The 26,203-nt window shown below is 37.8% G+C and overlaps 1 protein-coding gene across 4 annotated transcripts in view; it reads left to right on the top strand.

The window, feature by feature from the left end:
* RGS17 (regulator of G protein signaling 17) overlaps positions 1 to 26,203 on the top strand; it is a 126,824-nt gene that overhangs the window by 76,007 nt on the left and 24,614 nt on the right. For all 4 annotated transcript variants that reach the window (NM_012419.5, XM_047418634.1, XM_047418636.1 and 1 more), the window contains exon 2: positions 11,233 to 11,376. In NM_012419.5, the coding sequence (NP_036551.3) occupies positions 11,258 to 11,376 (119 nt within the window). In that variant the 5' untranslated portion in view covers positions 11,233 to 11,257. The remainder of the gene's footprint in view (positions 1 to 11,232; positions 11,377 to 26,203) is intronic.

The following is a 26,203-nucleotide window of genomic DNA, read 5'->3' as shown; positions in this document are numbered from 1 at the left end:
AACAGCAGACAGATTTTTCCCTTCTGTATTTACTGATAAACCCACACCAATCCCCTCAGCACCAGTTTGCAGTGGTGCACAGGAAGTAGAAGCAAATAGGGGTTCCAGGATGTGATCACCTGAGGGCATGCAGCAATTTTCCGTGCTTACTTACCACGTTCAGGGATTTGGGAAGGACCTTCCTAGGCACTGTCACTAAGCAGCTCTTTGAGATAGTGCATCTTCCGCCTGCTCTGTGTGTCTAATTATTCAGACGCCCCAGCTATGTAGCAAAATATTATACCTCATTGCTTGCTGGGCGGTCCAGAAGTTTAGACTGGAAACACAGATAAGATGCTGAACTGCTGGTATTCAGGGACTTAGAGAATTCTCTATCAGTCAGAAAAATAGGAGTGATCTGTTCCAAATGGTATGGGAACTACACAAAGGAAATCAATGAGTAGGAATTTCTTTCCAGAAGGAAGATGATTATGGGACAACATACACAATTACTTCAGAAGAGCGCAAATAAAGCGTTTGCCTATGATGTTTTTTTTAAGCCGGTTGAAAGACATAGAAGAGAGTGAAAGTCATGCAAATCTTTTTATTTATTTATTTATTTATTTATTTATTTATTTATTTATTTGAGATGAAGTCATGCACTGTTGCCCAGGCTGGAGTGCAGTGGCGCGATCTCGGCTCACTGCAACCTCCACCCTCTGTGTTCAAGCAGTTCTCCTGCCTCAGCCTCCCAAGTAGCTGGGGTCACAGGCTCCCGCCACCATGCCTGGCTAATTTTTGTATTTTTAGTAGAGATGGGGTTTCACCATGTATGGTCAGGCTGGTCTTGAACTCCTGACCTGAAGTGATCTGCTCATCTCAACCTCCCAAAGTGCGGGATTTCAGGCATGAGCCACCATGCCCTGCCTCGGTCTTGCAAATCTAACAACTAATATTTGAACCCCTCTACAGTGATTTCAAACCACAACAATCTCAGAGATTTTGTGAATAAATGGATATCCAAGATGACATTTACCTCTGAATGTTTCAATATTGAGTATTTAACAGTGAGAAAATTAAGGTATTCAATTCTCAAGAAAGTTTTTGAGTCTTTCTGCAAATTTTCAGGATATAAATAAGAAATTCCTGCCTGGTATAAAGCTGTATATATATATATATACACATATATATATATATATATATAAAAAATATTGTGTGTATATATATATGTATATATATTATATACATATATACATATATATGTATATATATTATATACATATATACGTATATATGTATATATATTATATACATATATACATATATATGTATATAATATATATGTATATATATTATATATACATATATATACATATATATATAATGTGTGTATGTATGTATGTGAAAAAGAAAATATAGATAAGTATAAAACATAATAAAATAAATACTCCCATACCCAAAACTCTATTTTTCTTTCTTTCTTTTTCTTTTTTCTTTTCTTTTTTGAGACAGGCTCTTGCTTTGTCACCCAGGCTAGAGTACATGGTGCGATCCTAGGTCACTGCAGCCTCGAACACCTGGGTTGAAGCAATCCTCCTACCTCAGCTTCCCAAGTAGCAAGTACCTAGGACTACATATGTATGCCACCATGCCTGGTTAAATTTTTTATTTTCTGTAAAGATGGAGGCTCACTGTGTTACCAGGCTGGTCTCAAACTCTTGGCCTCAAGTGGTCCTCCCAAAGGGCTGGAATTACAGATATGAGCCACCGTGCTCTGCCTCAATACCAAATTCATGTAACTGTAAATATTTTGCTTTTTCTTCAGATCTTTTTTAAAGAAATGATTAAAGTTGAAATTCTTTCTTTTGCAATCACAGCCTGATCGTTATCTTCCCGAACACCCAGTAATGGATCCAGTCCATGCTCTGTAACTGCGTATGTTACACATATTCTCCAGAAAAGATATGTATTATTGTTTGTTTTGTATGCTTATGAAAATTATGTTGATACTGTATTTAATATTTTGCAGCTTTTTTATTCAACATTGTTTTGTGATTGCCTCAAGTTGATTCATATAGATCTAAGTTACTCATTTTAAGAGCTGTTTTATATATTAACATATAACAATATCACCATTTTAAAATTCATTCCTGGAAAAATGAGAATATTGGTTGTGTCTTAGCTCAGGCTGCTATAACAAAATGCCATAAGCTGGATAACTTAACAACAGAAATTTATTTCTCACAGTATTTCTCTGAAAGTTGAAGTCTGAGATCAAGGTGCCAGTATGGTTGGGTTCTGGTGAGGGCCCTCTTTTAGGCTGCAGACTACTGATATCTCGTTTTATCCCCACAGGATGGAAAGAGAGCAGGAGAGTAATCTGGGGGTCCCTTTTTTAAGGGCACTAATCTCATTCATGAGGCCTCCACCGTCATTGTCTAATGACCCCGTCCATAGGCCCCACCTCTTAATATCACCCTGAGATTAGATTTCAACATATGTGTTTGAGGAGGACACACACATTCAGTATTTAACATTCTGCTCCTGGCCCTCCACAATTCATGTCTTCACATGCAGAATACATTATTTCCATCCCAGTAGCCTCAAAAGTCTTAACTTGTTCTAGCATTGGTTCTCAAGTCTGAAGTCCAAAGTCTTATCTAACTATCATCTAAATCAGATATGAGTGATTCTTAAGGTATCATTCATTCAGAGACAGAACTCCTCTCCAGCTATGAACATGTAAAACCAAATATTAGGTTGGTGCAAAAGTAATTGCGATTTTTGCTACTTTTAATGGCAAAAAACCACAATTACTTTTGCACCAACCTAATAAGTTATGTGCTTCCAAACTACAGTAGTGGGACAGATGTAGAATAGATATCCCCATTTCAGAAGCAAAGGAATAGGAAAGAAGAAAAGAGTGATAGCTTTTAAGTAAGTCCAGAACCTAGCAAGTCAAACTCCATATCTCAGGGCTGGAGAATAATCCTCTGGTGCTTGATGCTGTGCACTCCAGGCCCACTGGGGGCAGAGGTCCCATTTTCCAGACCCAGTAGAGTTGAGATATTGCTCTGCACCTCTGCCAAATTGGGATCTCAATCCCAGGGTTCTGCTGGGCAGGCACCAAACCTCCACAGCTCCTCCCAGTCCTACCCCCATGCCTTTGATTGGAGGTAATCTAACTTGTTGAAAATCAGGCAATTCTTCCTCCACCCTTTGCAACATAGGATGAAGCCCTGATGATCTCTGAATCATTTTTTTGTAGTCATTCTTCCCTTGTCTTTAAGAATAGATCATGTTTGCAGCTGAAAAGTTTTATGGTCTTCCCTGTAAAATCCAAAAAATCTGACAACATTTCTTCATTCCTTCCCATTCAGTTCAAACTGGCAGTTTTCCTGCTGAGGTAGCTAATTCAGTCCATGCTTCACACCATACTAATCTCCTTATCAAATGGTGGCTTGGTAATACTCTTAGTGTTCTCTTTTAAACATGCTTTCTCATTTTGTGCAATATGGATTGGCTGAGAATTTTCCAAGCTCATAAGTTCTAGTTTCTTGTTGTTTGATAAGTCCCTCTTCACATCATTTCTCTCTTCTCACATTTTACTAAACAGTCAGGAGGAACAAAGCCGTGCCTTCAGTACTTAGCTGAGAAATATCCTCAGCTAAATAGCCAACTTCATTGCTCACAAGTCCCAACTTCCACAAAACACTAATAATATGAACACAATTCACCCAAGTTGTTGGCCGCTTAATAACAAGGATTGCCTGTTCTCCATTGCACAAGATGGAGAAAAGGACAGTGAAATTTAGTGTTAATGAAGATAATAACATGTTTTTACTTCAGTCTGAGAATTCATCAAAATGGCCTTTACTATCCATATTTCTACTAACATTCAGTCCATGATTACATATGTATTCTTTAAGAAGATGGAAGCTTTCTCTACAGCTCTTCTCTTCCCTTTCTGAGCCCTAACCAAATCACCTTTAAAAGTCCCTTCATGACAATCTTGGCTTCTTCTAGATGTACTTCACAACTCTTGGTTAGTTCCAAAGCTGCTTTCACATATTTAGGTATTTGTTATAGCAGCACTCCACTTCTCAGTACCAATTTCTCTCTTAGTTTGGGCTGCTATAATAAAATACCATATGTAGGGTGGCTTATCAATAACAGACATTTATTTCTCACAGTTCTGGGGGCTGGAAAGTTCAAGATCAAGGTGATTGCCTATTTGGTGTCTGGTGAGGGCCTGCTGCCTGGTTGTAGATGACTATCTTCTTTCCGTGTCCTCACATGGAGAGAAGAAGAACCAACTCTCTGTCCTCTTCCTATAAGAGCACTAATCCCATTCATGAAGGCTCTGCTCTTGTGACCTAATTACCTCTGAAAGGCCCCACCTCCAAATATCATTATATTTGGCCCCATCTCCAAATATCATTACATTTGGGATTACATTTCAACATATGAATTTGAGGGGGACATAAACATTCAGTCCATAACAGGTTGTTTCCAATTTAAGGTGTTAAATATACTGTAATTAGTGTCTTCAAATAAAGGTTTGAGTTTCTCCAGTGTATAAACATAAAAATGGAATTTGTCATAGGTTATGTGTATTGTGAACTACATGTAGTCAATATTGTTCTTCAAAGTGATTTCTCAATGTATATTCCTACCATTAGTGTGAGGAGTTTTTAATTTACCCAAGTACTCTTCCAAAATTGATATTGTATGACTTTTTAACAGTGGAAAATTTGAATGTGGAATACTTTTTTATCCACATTTCTCTGATTAATAGTTCTGAGCATCTATTCATTTAATTTGGAGTATTTATATTTTCCTCTTTTATGACCCGCCTGCAAATTTGTTTGCCAATTTTTCTATTAGGTTTTTATGTTGTTAAATTGCAATGTGTTACTTATTATTACGGATAATATTCCTTTGTATCTTCCAGTATGATTCTCTATTTTTCTTGTTTCTATTTTATTGTTTCCTTATTTGCTCAAAACTTTTTAATAAATTAAACTATATAAAAAAAAGCTTTTCCTTTTGAGCTTGATCTTATAGTAAGAAATCCTTTTCTGCTCTGAAGCTATAGTCTACGTTTTTATGACAGTTTTAGAATTTGTAACATCTATTTTTGTATTCATGTTTTGAGTTTATTTTTGCATGTATTATCACTTGGAGGTGTAATTTTTTATATGTAAGTGCAAATATCTCAACACCATTTTTGAGTAGTCTGTCATTCTTGAATGATAAAGTTGCATACTCTAATTTAAGCCAGGACTGCATAAATGCCTGAAGGTTACTCAGCTCTCTGAGAGTTTTATTATTTTGATCTACATATCTGTTCCCATGCCATTGCCTAATTATTATGACTTCTATATTATTGATAGAACAAACACCCCCACTTATTTTTATTTTCAGACATGTCTTCAGTCTTCCATGTAAGTTTTAGAATTCATTTGTTAAGTTCCATGAATGATTGAATTAGAATTTTTACTGTGATCACATTGAATTTATTTATTTATTTATTTATTTATTTTGAGAAGGAGTCTCACTCTGTTGCCCAGGCTGGAGTGCAGTGGTGCGATCTCGGCTCACTGCAAGCTCCTCCTCCCAGGTTCATGCCATTCTCCTGCCTCAGCCTCCCAAGTAGTTGGGACTACAGTCGCCCGCCACCACACCTGGCTAATTTTTTGTATTTTTAGTAGAGACGGGGTTTCACCATGTTAGCCAGGATGGTCTCGATCTCCTGACCTCGTGATCCACCCGCCTCGGCCTCCCAAAGTGCTGGGATTACAGGTGTGAGCCACCATGCCCGGCCTTGAATTTATAAAATAATTTAGGACAATTAAGATTTTGGTCTTCCCACTTGAGAAGATAACCCAACTCTGTATTCAGGTCTTATTTTATGTTTTTTGATAAAGTTTCGTAATATTTCTATAGAGTTCTTATACAATTTTTGTTATAAATATTACCAGTTACTGTTTTGGTTTTGCTATTGAACTATGCCTTTATTTTTCTTATATATTCAAATTCATTATTACTAGTGTATTAGAAGTATATGATATTTTAAAGCTTAAACTGGCATCCCTCTTGAACTGCCTCTAATAACTTATCTGCCGAATCTCTTGGAAGTTTTATGTTGATAACCATATCATTTGTAAATAGTAAAGTTTGTATTTTCTTTTCCAATTTTTATTTATTTTTTCTAATTTTGTTGCATTGGCTGCAAAATTAATAATTTTGAATGTTGGGTATATAGACTTTATTGTTTTCTTCTTATCGTTAATAGGAATGCTGTAAAATTCACCATTCTACAAATATTTGTGTACCTAGTATGTGCCAAGCATTGTTACAACAATGAACAAAACAGACAAAAGTGCCTACCTTCATGAAATTTATTGGCTCCTTGGTTAGACAAACAAACAGGTAAAACTTGTAGTATGACTAGTGATGATACATTATATGGAGACAAGTTAAACAGGAAAGGGTAACAGCTCATACTGGGGATGAGGTGAGGGAGTTCATTTTTAAATAAGATGGTCATGAAGGCTTCAAGGAGAATGTAACATTTCAGTAAATACTTGAAGGAGTGAAACCCTAAGTGTGAAACAAGTGCAAAGGTCTTGACACGTAATTGTACCGAGCATGGCTGAGGAGCAGCAAGGAGGCCATTGTGATTGAAACAGACAACAAGAGGCAGAGAAAAGGAGATACATTCAGGGGAGTAACAAAAAAGCAGACTGTAAGAACTTCACTCTGAATAAGATGGTAAGCCACTGGAAGTTTTGGATTGGATTTGAATGGAAGAGTCTTTGCTGAAATTATCTGACTTAGGTTTGAAAGGCTCATCCTGGCTGCTGTCTTGAGAATAGAATAAAATGGAATTGTAATAGAAGGAGATAGGAGGTGGTAGAAACAGAAGATGGGTAGCAGATACCAGTTAAGAAGTCTCACATTTGCTGATCTGCTGATGTGACATCCAGATGAAATAGAGGAATCAAGGATGAGTCCAGGATTTTTTGGTGTGAAAAATGAGAAGGATGAGGCTTTTCATTCAGTAAAATTGGAGAAACTGTGGGAAGAACATGTTTTTGGGAAAAGATAATGAGGGCAGATTAGAGCATGTTAAGTTTGAGAAAGCCAAGTGAAGATATTGAGTAGGTAGTTGGATATTTGCATCCTGAATTCAGGAAAATTATCTTCACTGGGCATGTAAATTTGAGGATTTTGTGCAGAAAGCTGGTAGACCCAAAAAAGTCTCAATGAGTTCATCAAAGAAGTGATAGAGAAGAAAGACAGAACACTGTGGCCATTCAAAATTTGAAAGCGAGGAAGATGAAAAGGAAACAAGAAAGTAGACTGCAAAGAAGTGATGAGAAAGCAGACAGGTGAGTATGGTGCCCAGGAGGCAAGAGAAGAAAGTATTTCAAAGAGGGTGGAGTTAAAATAGTCAGTTTGGACTACTGTAGACAAAGTATCATAGTTGGGTAGCTTAAAAACAACGTAAATTTGTTTTTCACAGTTTTGTTGGCTGGGAAGTATAAGATCAAGATGGTGGCCTATTTGGTGTCTGGTGAGGGCCTGCTTCCTGGTTGTAGAAGATTGTCATTCTGTATCCTCACATGGTGGGGAAAAGCAATCCAGTTCCCTGGCCTCTTCTTATAAGGGCACTAATCCCATTCATGAGAGCTCAGCTATCATGAGCTAATTACCTCCCAAAGGCCCCAGCTTTTATTACCATCACAATTGGGGTTTGGACTTCAACAAATATATTTTGCAAGGGCAAATTCTGTCCATTGTAGTGTAAAATGCTGTTGGCCCAGAAGGAGATGGCAAAATAACTCTTGGACTTAATAATATGCGGACATTGAGATGTCTACAAAATCTGTTTCATTAGAGGGTTAGGGCAGCCCACCCATTTTCGTAATTGATGTAGTCTTAAATTTAATTCTTGAGTGTATCTAAACAGAGAAACATAGACTTTTATTTTAGCCAGGTCATTAAGTTCAGCATCCTATTTTACCAATTTCAGTTCTGTTTCTTATATTCTACCCCTTCCCTCTAATTTTGTTTTCTTCTGACTGAAGTAGGTTCCAGCAAATATTTGAGTAATCAACTCAGTGAGTTTATCAGAAATAATCTTCACTCTTGAATTTTTACTTAGGTGCATATAAAATTGTAGGATGATTATTATCCCTCAGCACTTGGAACACATAACTCCATTGCCCACCATCTTCAGCATCTAATATTGCTCATGGAAAGTCCACTGTCAATCAAAGCATTACTTGTGTGTGGGTAATTCAGCTTTTGTCTTTATCATCTAGATGTGTTTTTACTATTTTGTTTATAAGTGTAGATTTCTTTTTATTTTTATTCATCCTACTCAGCATGTGGTATACTCCTTTATGTGAGGCTTTGTTCTGTTTTGTTTTCTTCCAGTTCTAGGGAGTTCTTGGCCAATTTTCCTTAAAATATTATGACTTTCCTGACAATCCATTATTTTTCCCCTTATGAAGAAAATCTTGTTGGGTATATATTGGGGCCTTTCAATGTTACTGGTCTGCTTATCTCAATTCTCTTTTCATGTTGTAGCTTTTCTTCACTCTTTGCTGAATTCTGAGTATATTCCTTGGCACCATCTTCGGGATTGTTTGGGAAAGAAATGATTATGTGTAAATCTTTTAATAGCTATTTGTGTTTGTTTTTACATTCCCGTTATGTCTTTTCTTATTTCATATTTGCCAATTTTTGTTTTATAATTTATTTTATTTTATTATTTATTTTTAATTGACAAATAATAATTGTACATATTCATGGGGTACATAATGTTGTTCCAGTACATAAAATGTAGAGTGATAAGGTCACTTATCACTCTATGGTAATAAAGGATCATTACCATATTCATCGTCTTAAACATTTATCATTACTCTGTGTTGGGAATTTTCAATATCCTCCTTCCAGCTATTTAAAACTATATATTATTGTTAACTTTAGTCATCCTACAGCGATGTGGAACACTATAACTTATTCCTCCTATCTAGCTGCCATTTTATATCCCTTAAAAAATGTATCCATATCCCTCCCTTACTCCTACCCTTCCCAGCCTCTGGTATGCTATGTCCTTCTTTTTACTTCTATGAAATCAATGTTTTTTAAACTTCTACATATGAGTGAGAATATGTGGTATTTAACTTCTGTTCCTTGCTTATTTCACTTAATATAATATCTTCCAGTTCCATCCATGTTGCTGTGAATGACAGGGTTTCATTATTTTTAATGGCTAAATTAGTATTCCATGATGTATATATACCGCATTTTCTTTATTCATTAATCTGGTTTTGGACACCTTGGTTGATTCCATATCTTGGCTATTGTGAATAGTGCTGCAGTCAACATGGAGGTGCACGTATCCAAAAGGCATCCAAATTGGAAAAGGGGAAGTCAGATAAGTTTTATAATTTATTGTTCTCCCATTTAAATTGTATTCTTTCATTTATCACATTGTTTATCTTAAATATATGTTTGTTAAACTAATTTTAGGTGATTCTGTTATTAGCATTTGATCAGGAATATATTAATCTCCTAATTGTTGAGTTGGTTGTCTGTTTTCTGGTGTTAATATGGATTTTTGCTTTCAGGTAACACATTGAGTGAGAGATGTATTTCTTACTGTCACTTACTCTTCATAATGTAATGCTTTTCATTTGTTTCCACTAATCCCTTAAGACCCTTAGTCTTGAAGCAGCTCTTTTATCAGTATCTCAGGATTCCCTGCCATCTGCCAGTGATTTTGGAAAATTCCCTGACCCAGTCACTGAACAAATAAGCTGATTGGCTGAAGTCTGATCTGGATGGCTTTCTCTGCATCCTACCCTTTCTGCAGCTAGGCATTACTGAATAGTAGAAATTATTTTTTCAGTACCTTTTTATGAAGGGCACAATCACAGCCCCTGATTTTTTGCAGGCAACCTGGAATCAGACTCCCACTCCTCCTAGGGGAGCATCTAACACCTCACTGGAGTGTGGACCTTTGCCCGCTTCTGTTTCAATATCTGAATTGCAGAATTACTGTGGCTTTAGACCCCATTCACCTACAACTGTGGTTTTCTGCTCTGTTTCTGGTCGAAAAATATGTTTATCTGGTTTTCAAGAATGCAGTATTTTTTAAAGTGTTTATCATTGTATTCAGAACTGAAAATATCATTTTAAAATAATAGCTCATAATGCCAAAATAACCTGAAGCACTTTATAGTTTTAATAAGTACTGCTCTCAGCCACACATTTGACAATATATGTGTATGATTTACATACATTGCCTATTTATGAAAAACATCATTCAGTAGATTGCATTACTTTTTCTAAGAGTTCATGCTAAATTTGATATTACTCAAAGACAAAACTTTTTATTTTAATCCTCAGTACAGTCTTAGATCAGGATTGGTCCTATAAATAGGTAGCAACTCATTTGGCCTTATTTGTAAGATCACAGATAGGACATTCTGTATCCCAATATTTATTTTATCTGCCATGATATATAAATTCCACCAGAGTAATTCCCCTGAATTTGATGACTTTTATTTTCCCCCAACTCTCCGTTAAATAAAGATAAATTTGGGGGATGGAAGAAGAGAAGCTAATGCCTTTGCAACACTGACACCTAACAGAAAATAAGGCCTTTTGGTAATGTTATTAAGGTTAGGCCTCTGGAGGATGAGTCAAAAGTGCCAAAAAGGATATTGTGTTTCAAAGGAAGTGAGAGGGCGCCAAGAATAAACTTGATCTTCCTCATACTCTTATATAGTTAGAAACCATGCAACAATCATTTATAAAGCTCAATTTACCTTACTGTAAACATTAGTGGAAAAACGAGTTACATACACCCTCTATAATCACCGAATGGTGTCCATAAAAAAGGCAGATTTAATCATTCTTGAGTAAAGAAGGAAGTTAAAAATAAATTTTCAAACCTTATCATATTTACTTTACCAACAATCTTGATTACGTGGCAACTTTGTTGCTATAATTTTATGCAGCAGATAAAGGTAGACGTTCCTCCCCAAAGTTTTTAGTATATCCTTCTAAAAAGTTTTCCTGAGAATTTTTAGTTTGGCCTCTCAAGTTTCCTTATTTTACCTTTTCTTAAATTACCTCCCTCCTTCCTTAGTGAAATGAGCCTTCCTTCAGCATACGCAACTTATCCTTATTGCTTTTTTCATACCCAATTTTTTGTTTTATCTCTTTCAGCCAACTGGGTCCTGAAGTAGCTGAAATGCGAAAAAGGCAGCAGTCCCAAAATGAAGGAACACCTGCCGTGTCTCAAGCTCCTGGAAACCAGAGGCCCAACAACACCTGTTGCTTTTGTTGGTGCTGTTGTTGCAGCTGCTCCTGGTATGTCATGTTACCTGTAGGATGCCACACCCAGGCTTGGCAGGCACTAGTGTGAACATGCATGCCAAATCTCAGAACTGTAGAAACTGCTCAACATGTCTTTTTTTGTTCTTTCTTTGCAAGTAGGACTTATTGAAGACTATCATTGGTTTAATGCAAATACTTTCACAAACAAAATATATAATATTTCCCCAAAATCTACATTTAAATTGATAATAAGGTAAAAAAAATGAAGAGGTGTTTTATATCATGTTTTTCTCCATCCATGCTTCTTAAAGATATGGGTAAAAATAAGATTTTAGTTACATTTGTATTTATCAATAAGCAATATTCTCCAATGTTACAGGCAAGAACATTAAAATAACATCTAGTAATATTGCATGTAGTATTGCATGTGTTTTTTTTTTTTTTTAGTTCTCTGCTGCTACTTGATAGGGTGTTGAGCATTCAGCTGTATGACCAGATAACTGTAAGTCAGGGTAACAACCTCTGCCCAGAATTCCTGCCAATAAGGACAGAGAGAAGAGTCATTGACTCACAACTACCTATCTAAAAGGTCAGTGGCTGTGCTTGGAATGAAGTCCAACTCAGTTCATTGAAAAATCCTGAAATTAGAGCCAGAGAACCTGCTTCCCATTGTGGTGTTATCACTGGCAGGCTCTGGGACATCATGCAAACTCATAATCTCTTTGTCCTTTGATTTCCTCATTGGCAAAATGATGAAGAGTTAGACAAGCTAATTCCCAAGGTGCCATCTAGTGCTGAACATCCATGATCCAGGGAGCTCAGAGAACCTGCTCGAGTTCCGGATTCGTAAAGTGCCTAACATTTATGCAGATGAGATTCCTCAAGGGGATGCTAGACTTCATGGAACTTTCCTTTGAACCATACATTTTGGGGTCTTTTAACATACAGTTTACAAGTGGATCTTCTAGCCCAGCAGTGGTCTTCTGGGTCTCCCCAGACTAATTCAGAACCTAGAGAAAGGCCCATATGTTGGAGTCATCTCTCTGTGTATTATCTCTACAGTTTCCCAACATATATTGAGGTTTCTTTTTTGATATGACAAAATGTTGTATCATTGTGGCCAAAAGAAGGTAAAGAGGGCTGTACTAGAGTGGTAACCTTGGTGACGAACAAGTTCCATCCACTCTAGAAAACTCCAGTTTCAGAAAAACATAGTCATTGTAGTAATCTGGAAAGCTTAAGTAGTTTTTATAGATATCAATATTGCTTCCCAGATGATGATTCTTTGTTACAGAAAGTCATACTGTATTAGTCCATTTTTATGCTGCTATAAAGAAGTACCTGAGACTGGGTAATTTATAAAGAAAAAGAGGTTTAATGGACTCACAGTTCCACAGGGCTGGGGAGGCCTCACAATCATGGCAGAAGGTAAAGGAGGAGCAAAGGCATGTCTTACATTGTGGCAGGCAAGAGTGCATGTGCAGGGGAACTGCCCTTTATAAAACCATCAGATCTCGTCAGATTTATTCACTGTCATGAGGACAGCGTGGGAAAAAAACCATCCCCATGATTCAATTACCTGCCACCGCGTCCTTCCCATGACACATGGGGATTATGAGAGCTACAATTCAAATGAGATTTGGGTGGGGACACGGCCAAACCATATCATATACATAATTTGTTTCCTTTCATTATTAAGCCTTAATAATTTAAGATGGAGGAAACAGAGTTTGAGATGAAGTAAATATTTCAATCATAGTTGTGTAATCTTTTTCTGTGTCATGCCTAAAGAGATTATCTAGCTCTGGTCTTAATCTGTGAAGTACCATGTAATGACTTACTATAGTGGTTCTGAAGTCAGACTGCCGGGGTTCAAATCTTATCCTCACCCATCTCTATCTGTGTGACCTTCAGCAAGTTAGTTAAATGCCAGTAATAAAAATCCCTGCCTCGTAAGGCCATTGTAAAATTAAATGAGATAAAATACATAACAAGCCAAGAGCAGTGTCTGACACACAGTAAGCATTTAATAAGAGTTAGCTCTCTGGGCTATGGAACACTTCATATTGGAAAATAAAGATCACTTTAAAGAGGAACTGGCTTGAAATACTGTTTTAAAAAAAGATCAGTTTGTGGCTATAACACAAAAATTATCTTGGAAAAGCTATTTTATTTTAAATTCTGTATAAAACATCACCAATATATTGTTACACAGGGTTGAGGAATAGACTTCTAGTGCTCATTTGCACTATACCAGGTTCCTGTAATCGGTATATGATTTTCCTTAGCTGCCAAAACTTATCTCTGAATTGCTTTGGGATTAAAACACCAGAACAGATAGAATACTGAAGTTTCTTTGTGCTATATGTATTAGCTGCCATATAAATATTTAGTGAGATTTGCTTTTATCAATTTTTAAAGGACACATTAAATAACAAAACATTTAACATTAGCACATGAGCAAGAGATTATTGCAGTACACAGGCAATAGATGGAGAACAAAACAGCTTTCGGAAGCTGCATCAACTCTCTACACCTCTAGAGTAGATCCCCAAACATTGGGTACATTGGCTGCATGCTCTGTTAGCTCTAGACTAGCAATGCCCTTGTCAGGAACTGCATTTCTTGTCAATGAACATTGGATGCCTGAGTCTAGGCCATAAAATATACAGTCTGTAAATTTACAAGTCCTTCTATATATGATAAATGATAGAAAATTTCTAATTATTATAAACCACTTGATTATTATTTATTTATTTATTTGTATTTGAGACAAAATCTGCTCTGTCATGCAGGCTTGATTGCAGTGGCACAGTCACAGCTCACTGTAAGCTCCAACTCCTGGGCTCAAGTGATCCTCCCTCCTCAGCCTCCCCAGTAGCTGGGACTACAGGTGCATGCCACCACACCTGGCTAATTTTTTTTTTTTTTTTTTTTAGTGGAGTCAGCATCTTGCTATGTTGCTTGGGCTGCTCTTGAACTCCTGGGCTCAAGCAATCCTAAAATGCCTCAGCCTCTCAAAAGTGCTGAGATTTACAGCCATGAGCCACTGTGCCTGGCCACTTAATTTTTTTAAAAGGATAAAAGTTAAAGTTCCTTGAACTATGGATTTTAATTATGACTATATTGTCTTATTGCAAATGAAAATGTCCTTTACCCATATGTTTTTAAAATATTATTATTTTTATACTTCAAGTTTATAAAAGAAAATTGTACAGGCTTTCTGAAGTAAAAAGAAAAAGAAATAAATGTTCTTCAGATTTTCCAGGCTAGGTCAAAGGAGCAGAACAAAAAGAAACACTAAAAATGTAATTTAGGGAGTAAAAAAAAAAAGTTAGAAATCAAAATATGAAGTAACTGTCATTCGTGAATGGGACCAGTTGTCATGTGGCTGAATTTACTTCCTTTTAAGGAAATAGAGTGGTAAGAAAATAAATTTCTGTATCTAGTAATAAATATAAATACCTCACCCTAAGCTTCATGTTATGGGTTTTTTAACAGTGTAATATTTCCCTCAAATTTGCACTTCTCATTCATATTTCATTGTCAGCTCTTCTCTCATTTTTAAATAGATTCCTGTCTTTATAACATTACCACCACATTTTTTGCGGGGAGGATACAGAGAGTGAGTACATAACTGCTGAATGTTTCCACAGTTTCTTTCAAAATTCTAAACTGTTTAGACAGGCTTCATAGTGATTTAAGCTGGTCCATTCTCTATCTCTGTCATAGAGGCACTTTCTCCCCCCACGTCAGTCTCTCTCCTTATCTCCCTTTTCTCCTCATAGCCCTTGCAATTAAAGAAGAGAAAACAGGAGGATGTGGTTTAGAACCATTAACATCCTTAAATACACATAAAATGGACACTCTATAAACATGCAAGACCTTCTATTCATGGGACCAAGCTAGGGTGAAGAGACCATTTTGTCAAGACCATTTGTCTACAGGTTCAAGGTTGACACTGGCAAGTGGAATGTCTCGTTTCTTCAGATAGTAACCTTCTTCCCTTTTCTTTATAAGAAAGAAAACTTTGAAAGATACTGAAGGCTCCTCTCAAACTGCCTTCAGTCAGGACAGCGTGAAGCAGTGAGGTTGTTCAGATGCTCACATGTGAGATAACACATATAAAAGTGCAGAGCAGACTAGAAACTGCTGTGTGCTTACAAAAAGGAGGGGCATCAAAATGGCCATAGGAAAGGCAGAGCTTTCAAAGTTTATTATGAGCTTAAAGCTCATTTTCAAATTGTCCTACGAACTCTCTTGCAACATCATTCAGAGGTTGCATTAAAATAACCCATGCTACTTTTTCACATAAAATCTTCAGGTACTAATTCCTCTTTTAATACTGACGCTTCTGTGGGTGTCCCATCAAGCAAAACAGGGTTCCCTGTGTGTAAAAATTAGAACTTCAGAGACCTCAGCTACCATCTCTCCAAAATGTTTACGTTGCCCTCTGCTTGGCACATCATGGTGGTGAGATGACGGCTATGGAGAGGAGAAGAATGAAGTATCACTGGCCACAGCCCTGGCTCCAGCTTGCAGTTTCCAAGAGAATGGTTCTGTCTTTAGCTACTTTATAAATTAGACTTAGGTAAAAGCTTTCATTTGAAAAAACAACAACAACAGCAACGTTTGGAAAATGTTGTGTCTATTTTTACAGGTAAGGAAACTGATGGCTTGCTGATGTCAGTAGACCCATTAGGGATCGAGGTGGAACTGAGATGCAAGCCTCTGAATGTCTAGTCCCGTTGTTCGGTCCACTTTAATGTGACACTTCCAAGCTTTTCATTTCCAGGTTTGATATGAGCCATTTCCAAACACAACTTTCTCAGTTGAATTCACAATCTCATGCTCTCCCGGTATTGCCCACGAGATTTGGCCCACTGCACTGGACTCTTCTCAAGAGAAATTGGTCACAGACTGAATTTAGTAAATTAACTAGCCTTTTGAAAGCTAAAATTGTCTCTTTTTTGGATACATTAGTTCCCAGAGTTTCCAGACCATGGGATGGATCTCACTGAGTAAATGTTAAGTGCTTCATAAATATGCTTTGGGCTGCCCCTCCCTCCGTTTCTAACAAGTACCATGGCCTCTGTAATTCAAAACAGTGCAAAAATAATGTCCTGTTTTATCCTCTGATGCTGTCACACTTTCGCTCTCTGCCAAAGGAAATACTAAGATGCATGCTTTAAAAGTCAAAGGATATTTTTTGAAAGGAAAAACAAAAATCCATGCCTGCACCATGGTAAAGAAACCACTCCCTGGAAATAAAACTCCTCACACAGGCAAGGTGAATCATTTCATCTGAGGCACCAGAGCATACATGGTTTCCTCTGTGCCTGTCACCCTCAGAGAGCTGATTCATCTCACATGGCAGAATACGTTATTCCTGCAGAATAACTCACACTGCACAAGATTTCCAGAGTACTTGTAAACAGACCATCATACATATCACTTACAAAGTAGCAATACGGAAGTCTCCAGTTGGGAAACTCCATCTTGCCATGGCATGGGTAAATTTCCTCAATGTTTTTATCAGTTATATCAACTTTACACAATCAAAAGACATCTATCAAAATGAACCCAAGTTTCTCAGGCCATATACACAAAACCAGAGTGGACAATAGGACTATGGACTGAATGAGAGTTAATGGTAGAAGGAGCCTCACTCTGGTGAAGAAGTCCAGAGTCCCAAGAAGCCAGGAGGAAGAAATTGTAGATAAAGAGGTGGCAGGTGCATTTGGTGACAGGGCTCTGCACGGTGAGGTCTGCTGACCCCAGATACCCCAGTCAGCTTCAAGGTTCAGACCCGGACAAAAAACTCAAATTTCAGCCAAAGCTGACTCACTCTACATGGCAATGCAGTGAGGACTATCTATGTCTGGATGGGCCAGGATGTACCGGAGCTTTGGGGATGACCTTGGTAATAGACTGGTGCTGTTCATACCCATGGCCATGGCTCCCTCTGCCCTAGAGAAGGCTGAACACATGAAAGGTCAGAGTTTGACTCACCAACCCACTGAACCATTTTTTATACGAGTGATACTCCTGTCTGCCCCATGTTGTTGTTTTTTAGGTTAATACCTTTGGTAAAAATTATATTACATAGATCTTGTATTTGAATTCACAAAACTCCATATTGGTCATTGCTGCCAGGCATTTTTGTAAACAGATAACTGAAGTTTCATGCATTAAAATAGCAAAAAATAGGCCGGGTGTGGTGGCTTATGCCTGTAATCCCAGCCCTTTGGGAGGCCGAGGTGGGTGGATCACGAGGTCAGGAGTTTGAGACCAGCCTGACCAACATGGTGAAACCCCGTCTGTACTAAAAATACAAAAATTAGCCGGGTGTGGTGGCATGCGCCTGTAATCCCAGCTACTCAGGAGGCGGAGGCAGGAGAATCGCTTGAACCTGGGGGGCTGAGGTTGCAGTGAGCCAAGATTGCGCCACTGCACTCCAGCCTGGGCAACAGAGAGACTCTGTCTCAAAAAAAAAAAAAAAGTAAAAAATGCATATTTTGGCTTACATTATTTGGCCAGTATTAGTAGGTGTTTAACATTTGTTGAATGGGTGATGGATTTGGATTTGCCAATTGAGCCTACTTTATGAAATATAAAAACTTGTGTCACAGAAATTCTTTTCAAAAATTACAGGCACATTCTCCCAGGCCACCAGATTTTTTTTTATGCACCATTTTTCTTCATGCTCCTGTGTGTGTGTGTGTGTGTGTCTGTGTGTGTGTGTGTGTGTGTGTGTGTGTTTTAAAGGTAGTACTACCAATTAGTAGTACAGAGGGAATGAATTTGGGGAGGGAGCACTAAATCTGTTTAGCATTTCTGGGATATAAAGTCAAGAAGAACAAAATAGAAGACTAGGGAGATAGGCAATGACAAATAATCAAATATCTTTTCCACCTTATTAAGGAGTTTACACCTTTTTAGAGATGGGAAGCAATTGAAGGGTTTTAAGTAAGGAGAGGACAAAGTCCATTTTATATTTTAAGTATTCTCCTGAGGGAATGGAAAATGTATGGAAGAAAATACAAAAAGTAAGGGGGATGTTAAGAGACTTTTATAATAGCCTTGGTGAGAGATGGTGGGGCACAACAGAAAGAGACAATAAAAGGGATGGAGAGAAGTGCATATTCAAGAAAAAATTAGGATATACTGCCAAGAATTAATGATAGACAAGAAAGAGAAGGATGACTCCATATTGCTTGCATGAGTAGCTGGGTTGCTGGTGATCCCATCAAATGAGAGGACACTGCAATAGGAAGTTATTTAGGCCAAGGATACAAAGATGAGTTCAACTTGCTCTGATTGAGGTATCCAAGAGTTAGTTGTATAAATGAATTTGAAGCTTGCAAGACAAGCGTGGATGAAATATGACAATCTGGGACTCATCAGTTGCAAGAGATGAGAATGATTCGCCCTGGTGAGTATTCCAGGGTGAAAAGCAGGGAGCTACAGACAGAAACCTCAGGACACACCACATTTAAAGAACAATGGAGGAGTGAGAGAGTTGCAAACACAGTGGAGAAGAAGTGATGTGAGAAATGACATGCAAAACGCAGCAAGGGGGCCGGGCACAGTGGCCCACAACTGTAATCCTAGCACTTTGGGAGGACATGGCAGGAGGAAAGCTTGAATCCAGGAGTTCGAGACCAGCCTAGGCAACATAGTGAGTCCCCATCTCTACAAAAAATTTTAAAATTAGCCGAGTGTGGTAATACACACCTGTAGTCCCAGCTACTCAGGAGAGTGTTGTAGGAGGATGGCTTGAGCCCAAGAGTTGAGGCTGCAGTGAGCCATGATCACATGACTGCACTCAAGCCTGAGTGAGACCCTGTCTCAGAAAAATAAAATAAAACACAGCAAGGGACTGTTACAGAAGCCAAGAGAATTGAGAGTTTCACAAAGGGAAGTCTGAGGTTGCAGATACACCAGAGAAGTCCAATACAATAAGAATCATAAAACATTTTGTGATTTGACCAGCCAGGAGGGCTTCTTGGTGAACTTTAAGAGAACCAAGCTTCTCTGTAAGATGTACAACGAGGAAGAACTTGGAGAAAGAAAAGCTACTGACAGAGAAAATGAGTGAGCCCCTCTTTGAAGACTCTAAGACCCCATATGCTCCTCCTTCAGGGTGAAGGTTTGCTTTGAGAGAAGTTGGATTTTCCTTCCTGACTCATTCAAAGCAAATTATTCATTTTCCAAGGCAATATGAAATTCAACCATTCCAAATCCAGGTCAACTTTATTAGCTACCTGGACAATATTTAACAAATTCCTCCAGAAAATTCCAATCAATAATGCAAAAATGAGGCTGACTTCTTTGCTACCCTTATTTATAAAATTTCATAGTTGTGTTACACCTGATTAAATTAAGTATTAACCCTACTTTTGCTTCTCTCATTAAAAGTCTTCATTATTTCTTATGGGCCTAACCTACTGTCTTTCATGGTCTAGGTGTGGTAGACCTATTACAATCTGCCTGCTCTTTTAGGACATGATTCAAGAATTACTTGTTCTGTTTTTGTCAGATAAGACAATCAAATTCACTTTTTGTGAAAATGAAATTGATTTTATAATAATCATGCTGGACTGGGTGCTATAAAATATAGCATGTATAAATGCTATAAAGTCCATATCTTTGTTTCAGACATTAATATGTTACATATTAATGTACATCTTTTTGCATGGGAATATCTGTTCCTAAGTGAAACACAAATTTCTGTCACTGACACTTTGTGTATAAAGCAATATACTTTTTTTTTTTTGTGAGAGAGTCTTGCTCTGTCACCCAGGCTGCAGTGCAGTGGTGCGATCTTGGCCCACTGCAACCTCTGCCTGCCAGGTTCAAGCAATTCTCTTGCCTCAGCCTCCCGAGTAGCTGGGACTGCAGGCATGCACCACCACACCTGGCTAATTTTTTTTTGTATTTTTAGTGGAGACAGGGTTTCACCATGTTGGCCAGGCTAGTCTCAAACTCCTGACCTCAAGTGATCTGCCTGCCTCAGCCTCCCAAATTGTTGGGATTATAGGCATCAGCCGCCGCTCGCAGCCAAAGCAATATAGATTATTTAAAAGTACAGAGCCATTTAACTGCCAATTCCATCGTAATAGTGGAACAGTAACTTCATGTGTTTCGTTCTAGAGGTAGTCTTGCCATATTTGACAATTACACGCAAATTCTAATGGCATGTCTTCCTCGGAAAGCTGACTTTCAAGAGGCTGTATGGGATAAGGAAAGACCCATGGCACTGGAATTTTACAGACCTGAGTACATTCCAGTTTTATCACATGTAACTATGAAACCTTTGGCAAGTTACTTACTACCTCTGAGCCTCGGTTTCTTCCTCAGTAAAATGCGATTAGTCATGTACACAAATCCCTGCGTAATCCTTTATTGATAGGTATTATTTCTGTCCCTTTACAAGTCTCAGGCCCAGAGGAATTTACCAGACTGTGTAGGATCTGGCTATTGCAGGCTTGGCAAGGTTCTGTTTGCATGTTGTCAGTTAAGGTAGCGGATGCTGTTTCTTCAGTCTGTATCACTTCGCGCTTCCCAGCCCTCACATTAATCGGCACAGGTATACGTCAGAGCAGCCCTGGAGCATGCACTGCACAGCTGCAGGATTCCCAGAGTGTTGTAACTTTTATATAGCAGGGTTTTGTTTCTCTACAGATCAAGATTGTTGTCTTCCATGGTGTCTGTTCTCAAGGAAGCCCCGCACATTCATCCCATACGTATTCACACACACACACTAACTGGAAAATGCGAGGGAAAGGATGAATGGGTAGATGAATGAGCAGTCCTGCCAGCTATCAGATATATTTCTGAATATTCACTAACAGGGTTTTAACTTTTTCACTCTCCTTTTTATGATAGGGACCCAGCCTTCTAAAGTCAGAAACTGGAGCTCCAATTGAATTAATGCACTTGACACAAATGATCGCATGCCATTTTAATAACAGTCACACTATTATTGCTCCTAACTAAATAGAAGTCCATTTGGCCTTTTCACATCTAAGATATTTGCTTTCCCATTAAGGCATTCACTTAGTTATAAATTATAGGTAAAATTACAGTGGGTTGAAGGAATAGCTTAAAATAGGATTTTAATCAACGTGAGAACTGAGGTATAGAAGATTCTGATGATTGGCATGTATTTTTTATTTTTATTTTATTTTTATTTATTTATTTATTTATTTTGAGATGAAGTCTCACTCTGTAGCCCAAGCTGGAGTGCAGTGGTGCCATCTCAGCTCACTGCAACCTCCACCTCTGGGGCTCAAGCGATTTCTGTGCCTCAGCCTCCTGAGTAGCTGGGGCTACAGGCGCACGCCACTATGCCTGACTAATTTTTTGTATTTTAGTAGAGACAGGGTTTCACCATGTTACCCAGGGTGGTCTCGAACTCCTGAGCTCAGGCGATCTGCCCACCTTGGCCTCCCAAAGTGCTGGGATTACAAGCATGAGCCACCATGCTTGGCCTGGCGTGTATTATGTAAAGTATATCTTTGTATTCAGACCTGTAATTCTCTTAATTTTAAGGAAAAATAAACTCTGTTTATGCTAAATAAGAAGCTTTGGTCATCTAACTGAACATAAACGTACCGTGTAGATTTCTATTTTCACCATGTAATTACTTGGTAAATGAAGTTGGCATTCCAAATCAAATCAATATGTCCATGAAGGAAATCCAGGCCTTGGGGTTTCAAATGAAAATTGAATATAGATAAAAAGATGGAATTTTTGATACCCATCTTTTCAAACAGATGCGTATATAGAAAGAAATTGGCAACTGAGAGAGAGAATCAGAGAATGAAGAAATTTGTCTTCAGTTTCCATGGGTCAAAAGAAGAAATGAATGTTCACGTACCACCCAAACAGAAATTGAAATAGTGTGGAGAATCCATTCTCAGGATGGCTCTTTTAAAATATTGTAAATTAAAAATATTTCCTACCTATTGGTAGTTAAAACCCTTTTCTAATTTATTTGTTCTAAGAATGTATGACCTAAGTTCTGTATTATCCCAGCATGAGACGGTGGAATGCAAAACGACTTCTTATCGGAAACGATAATGACAATGTTAATAACAGTATGCCTGCCTGTTTTTAAGACTAAAGTATTCCCAAATCAAATGACTTTGGGCCGGGATCTATTCAGAATATTTTGTAAATACCAAAAAGGAAAAATGGTTGCAGTTATGCAAACCTCCCAAGATTAAGTTTATCCTCTTCGAGTTTGATTATTACACTCACCGAAAAACTGAATGACTCCTTTTAGATTCCTTAGAAAGATATAATTATCAAAACTCCTTAAGAGAATGAATAGACTTTTTTTTTTTTTTTCAAATAAGGGTATTTACCCGCAGAAACTTTTTTTCAGTTTTTCCTTTATTCTGACTTGGTTAAAATATTGTATTTATAAAGGTAACACAGCCATCTAGTGGACAGATATTTGATAGCTGATTATTTTACTTGAGTTTAAGTTCATGAAACAAAAGCTTAAGCCAAATGAAATACTTGTTTCATGACACACGGCACATGATTACAAAATGTGGAGTGAGCCTTTAGAGGGGCAACATGGGGTATTTTTAGGCAGGTGTTTTATAACATTTCCAGACACAAATTTCTAACCACTGTTCCCATCCCCACACACCCCACTCAAAACCATACTCTATTATAAAAATGTAGAAATGAAAGAGGTGAAGTTCAAATCATAGGTTTAACATTGAGTTTCTATGTGTCTGAAATGTTGTATATTATGTGGTTACCAGCCCATCTTCTGGTGTCTTTTTGGTTTGGGGTTTTAGTTTTTTTGGGGGGTGGGTAGTCTTTTGTAAGTGAAACATCAGTTCTATTCTCCTTTCCTTGTTGCCCTGTCCTGAAGTTATCTTTGCTAATGGAAGAAAGTCATACTTCCCAGGATGGCCCTCCTCAGCCATAGCAACACCGTCTGCAGTCATTAACGGTGTTACTTTTGTCCTTCCTCTTTCACACTTTGCTGTCAAAACCTTCTATAACAACTCCTTTTTGTTCATCTCAAATTCCAGGGAATTGAGAAGTTACTCTTCATCAAATTCTACTGCAAACTCAGACCTCTGGGCAACAGCTCCTATGGAGTGATAGCTGTGGGATGATACTTAGAGAGGGCATTTATACTCAATGTACTGGATTGTACTAGGAGGTTTATTTTTCCAAACCTTAAGAAAAATCACTTGTGTAAACACTTGCAATACCACAATTAACTCTTCTATGTAAAGAGAAATGGCATTGCAGAGTGAAAATGAGCCTGAGACAGGAAGTCAGAAGATGGGAATTCCAATCCTAGTTCTAATAATTTTGAGTTGTGGGTATTGTGTAAGTCAACCCCAATAACTGTTTCCTTGTAAATAAAACAAGAATGACTAATAACAACTCTGCTGCTTACCTTCAAGGACTATTGTGAGGAGGAAGTGACAAGGTAATGGATGAGGAAGTGTTGTGTAATAATGACAAAGGAGAAGTCTCTATTTACTCAGGTGGAAATAAAAAGCTCTTTGGTAAACTTGGAATTGGAATTTTAATATGCAACCAACTTGCCCTTCCATTCAACTAAGCATCTGTAATAATGGGCCTTTTTGTCACAAGCTTTTATTTTTTGTTTTACATCCTTGTGAAGTAGTTCATTGCCATTATCCCCATTATGAATGGTGAAAACAAAGCATGGAAAGCTTAAACCATCCTAAAGGAGGTATATTCTACATTTGGAGTCCACCTCATCATTTTCTTGGATAACACATACTTTGCTGCCTGTTTTATTCTCCTGCTCCAGCCCTGCAACATCTGATATGTCCATTCTGTTCTACATTTGTATTGTGCCCCTGCATGATTTTATCCCCACTCTGAATGAGATCCCCTTTTTCCAGGTCTCCATCTGGCAAACAACTGCCCATTTTCAACCCAATTTAATCTTTACGTCTTCTGTGAAGCCTTTCTCAATTCTCTTATGCAAAAGCACAGGTACCATCAAGGGTGTCTAAGAAACCCCATATGCACAGTTCTGTCCGAGTTCTTATCACAATGCCATGTGATGTTTATTTACCCGTCTGAGCTCCTCAGTAGCAGAGCCTTTGTCTTATTCACCTTTTATGTCCAACCAGGGAATGTTGCATGAACCAGTGTTTCATACACATTACTAAAGTATTGCTAACTCCTCTAGTATTTACTGTGATATCTTGAATGCTGAAAATGAAGTATTTAAAGAATAATCTACCAATTCATTTTCAGAGCCTGAAGGATGTTGATTTCATTTTTGCACCAGGAACTTTGAGGTAGAAGCTGTTAAATAAAAAGAAAAGATTGATATCACAATGTGAGACTATTTCAATATTGAATAGACTGCTTTTACCAGTGACAGTAGTTCTCTCTTGGAGCCTTGATGTCACACTGTATTAAATTTAGGCATCTTATTGATTCTTCAGTTTAATTTTTCTGTAAATATATGTGCTTTCCTGACCAGCCTCTATCCCAGAGTTACCATGGCTACTGGTAAGTTTTATCTTCTTTGCAACCATTTTAACAGTTTTTCTTAAGAACCAATTGTTTTCCTTACAATAGAAGAGTGTCTTCCAAAATAGACCCTGCGCATATCCATGATGACAGATCAGTAGATAAACTGTATAATTGGCAGCAGGTAATGTTTTTTCTCACTCCACTGTCCACACTCCCCTGTAAACAAACAATCCACCCCCATAGAGAGGGGGCACATTTTCTTAAGTTCTCAAATGTCACAAGTATTTTTCCTCCCTTTTCAAAGTCACTATTTAGAAAATCTCTAATGGGATTTTAAATGCTTATTTTAGTATATTTGGCCAAGGATATTGGCACTTTTCTTCCATAAAGTATTTAAGGTTTGATCAAGACCCTCACAGTGAGCACTGTGTATGTGTTTAGTTCTCTTTGTGGCTTTTATTGCTTAAAAAGTAGAAATGTTAGTTTTAAATGTTACATACATAAAAGTCAGTGGGGGAGTGTCTCTTCTTGGAGAGATATGGGCTAAAAAGAAAAAACAAGACATGTAATCCCAGCATTTTGGGAGGCCAAAGTGGGTGGATCACAAGGTCAGGAGTTCAAGACCAGCCTGACCAACATGGTGAAACCCTGTCTCTACTAAAAATACAAAAATTAGCTGGGCATGGTGGCGGGTGCCTGTAATCCCAGCTACTCAGGAAGCTGAGGCAGGAGAATCACTTGAACCCGGGAGGCGGAGCTTGCAGTGAGCTGAGATCATGCCATTGCACTCCAGCCTGGGCAACAGAGCAACACTCCGTCTTAAAAAAAAAAAGAAAAAGAAAAAGAAAAAAAAAAGTGTCTCTATGGGACCCTCAAAACTGTTGATCTGGTATTTTCCTTTTAGGGCTTTCCTCAAACACATATAACATATATAAGTTGGTCTAGAGCAAATATTTCCAGTGAATTAATAAAAACAACAACAACAATGCACTACTTGGAGCAGGACCAGGTAGGACAGACATTAGTCAATATCAAGACAGACAAACTGTTAAGTATTAATCCCTTGTCTATTTTCTCCATTTCTCTTTAACTTAAAATGGTATTTTCAGCAGTTCTTGATAACTGAAACCTTGAAACCCATTTTTTAAGACCGGTAGTAAAGGACAGTTAATAAAAAGGACAATTTGTCTGTTGCCAAAGTTCAATTTCTACAGGGCAAGACTGTGGCCAATAGTAGATCAAGAGCTGCACAGTGAATAGTTAAACATTTACTGAATGTCTGTTGTAAGTAGTTTTAGTCCAAATGTGTGTCCATATTTTACCACCTGTAGAAAAGAAAGATGTAAACTCAACCTAA

Source organism: Homo sapiens, chromosome 6 (assembly GCF_000001405.40).
Source record: "Homo sapiens chromosome 6, GRCh38.p14 Primary Assembly".
Lineage (NCBI taxonomy): Eukaryota > Metazoa > Chordata > Mammalia > Primates > Hominidae > Homo > Homo sapiens.
Note: the sequence above shows the minus strand (reverse complement) of the source record. Positions and strands in the feature narration are given on the sequence as shown.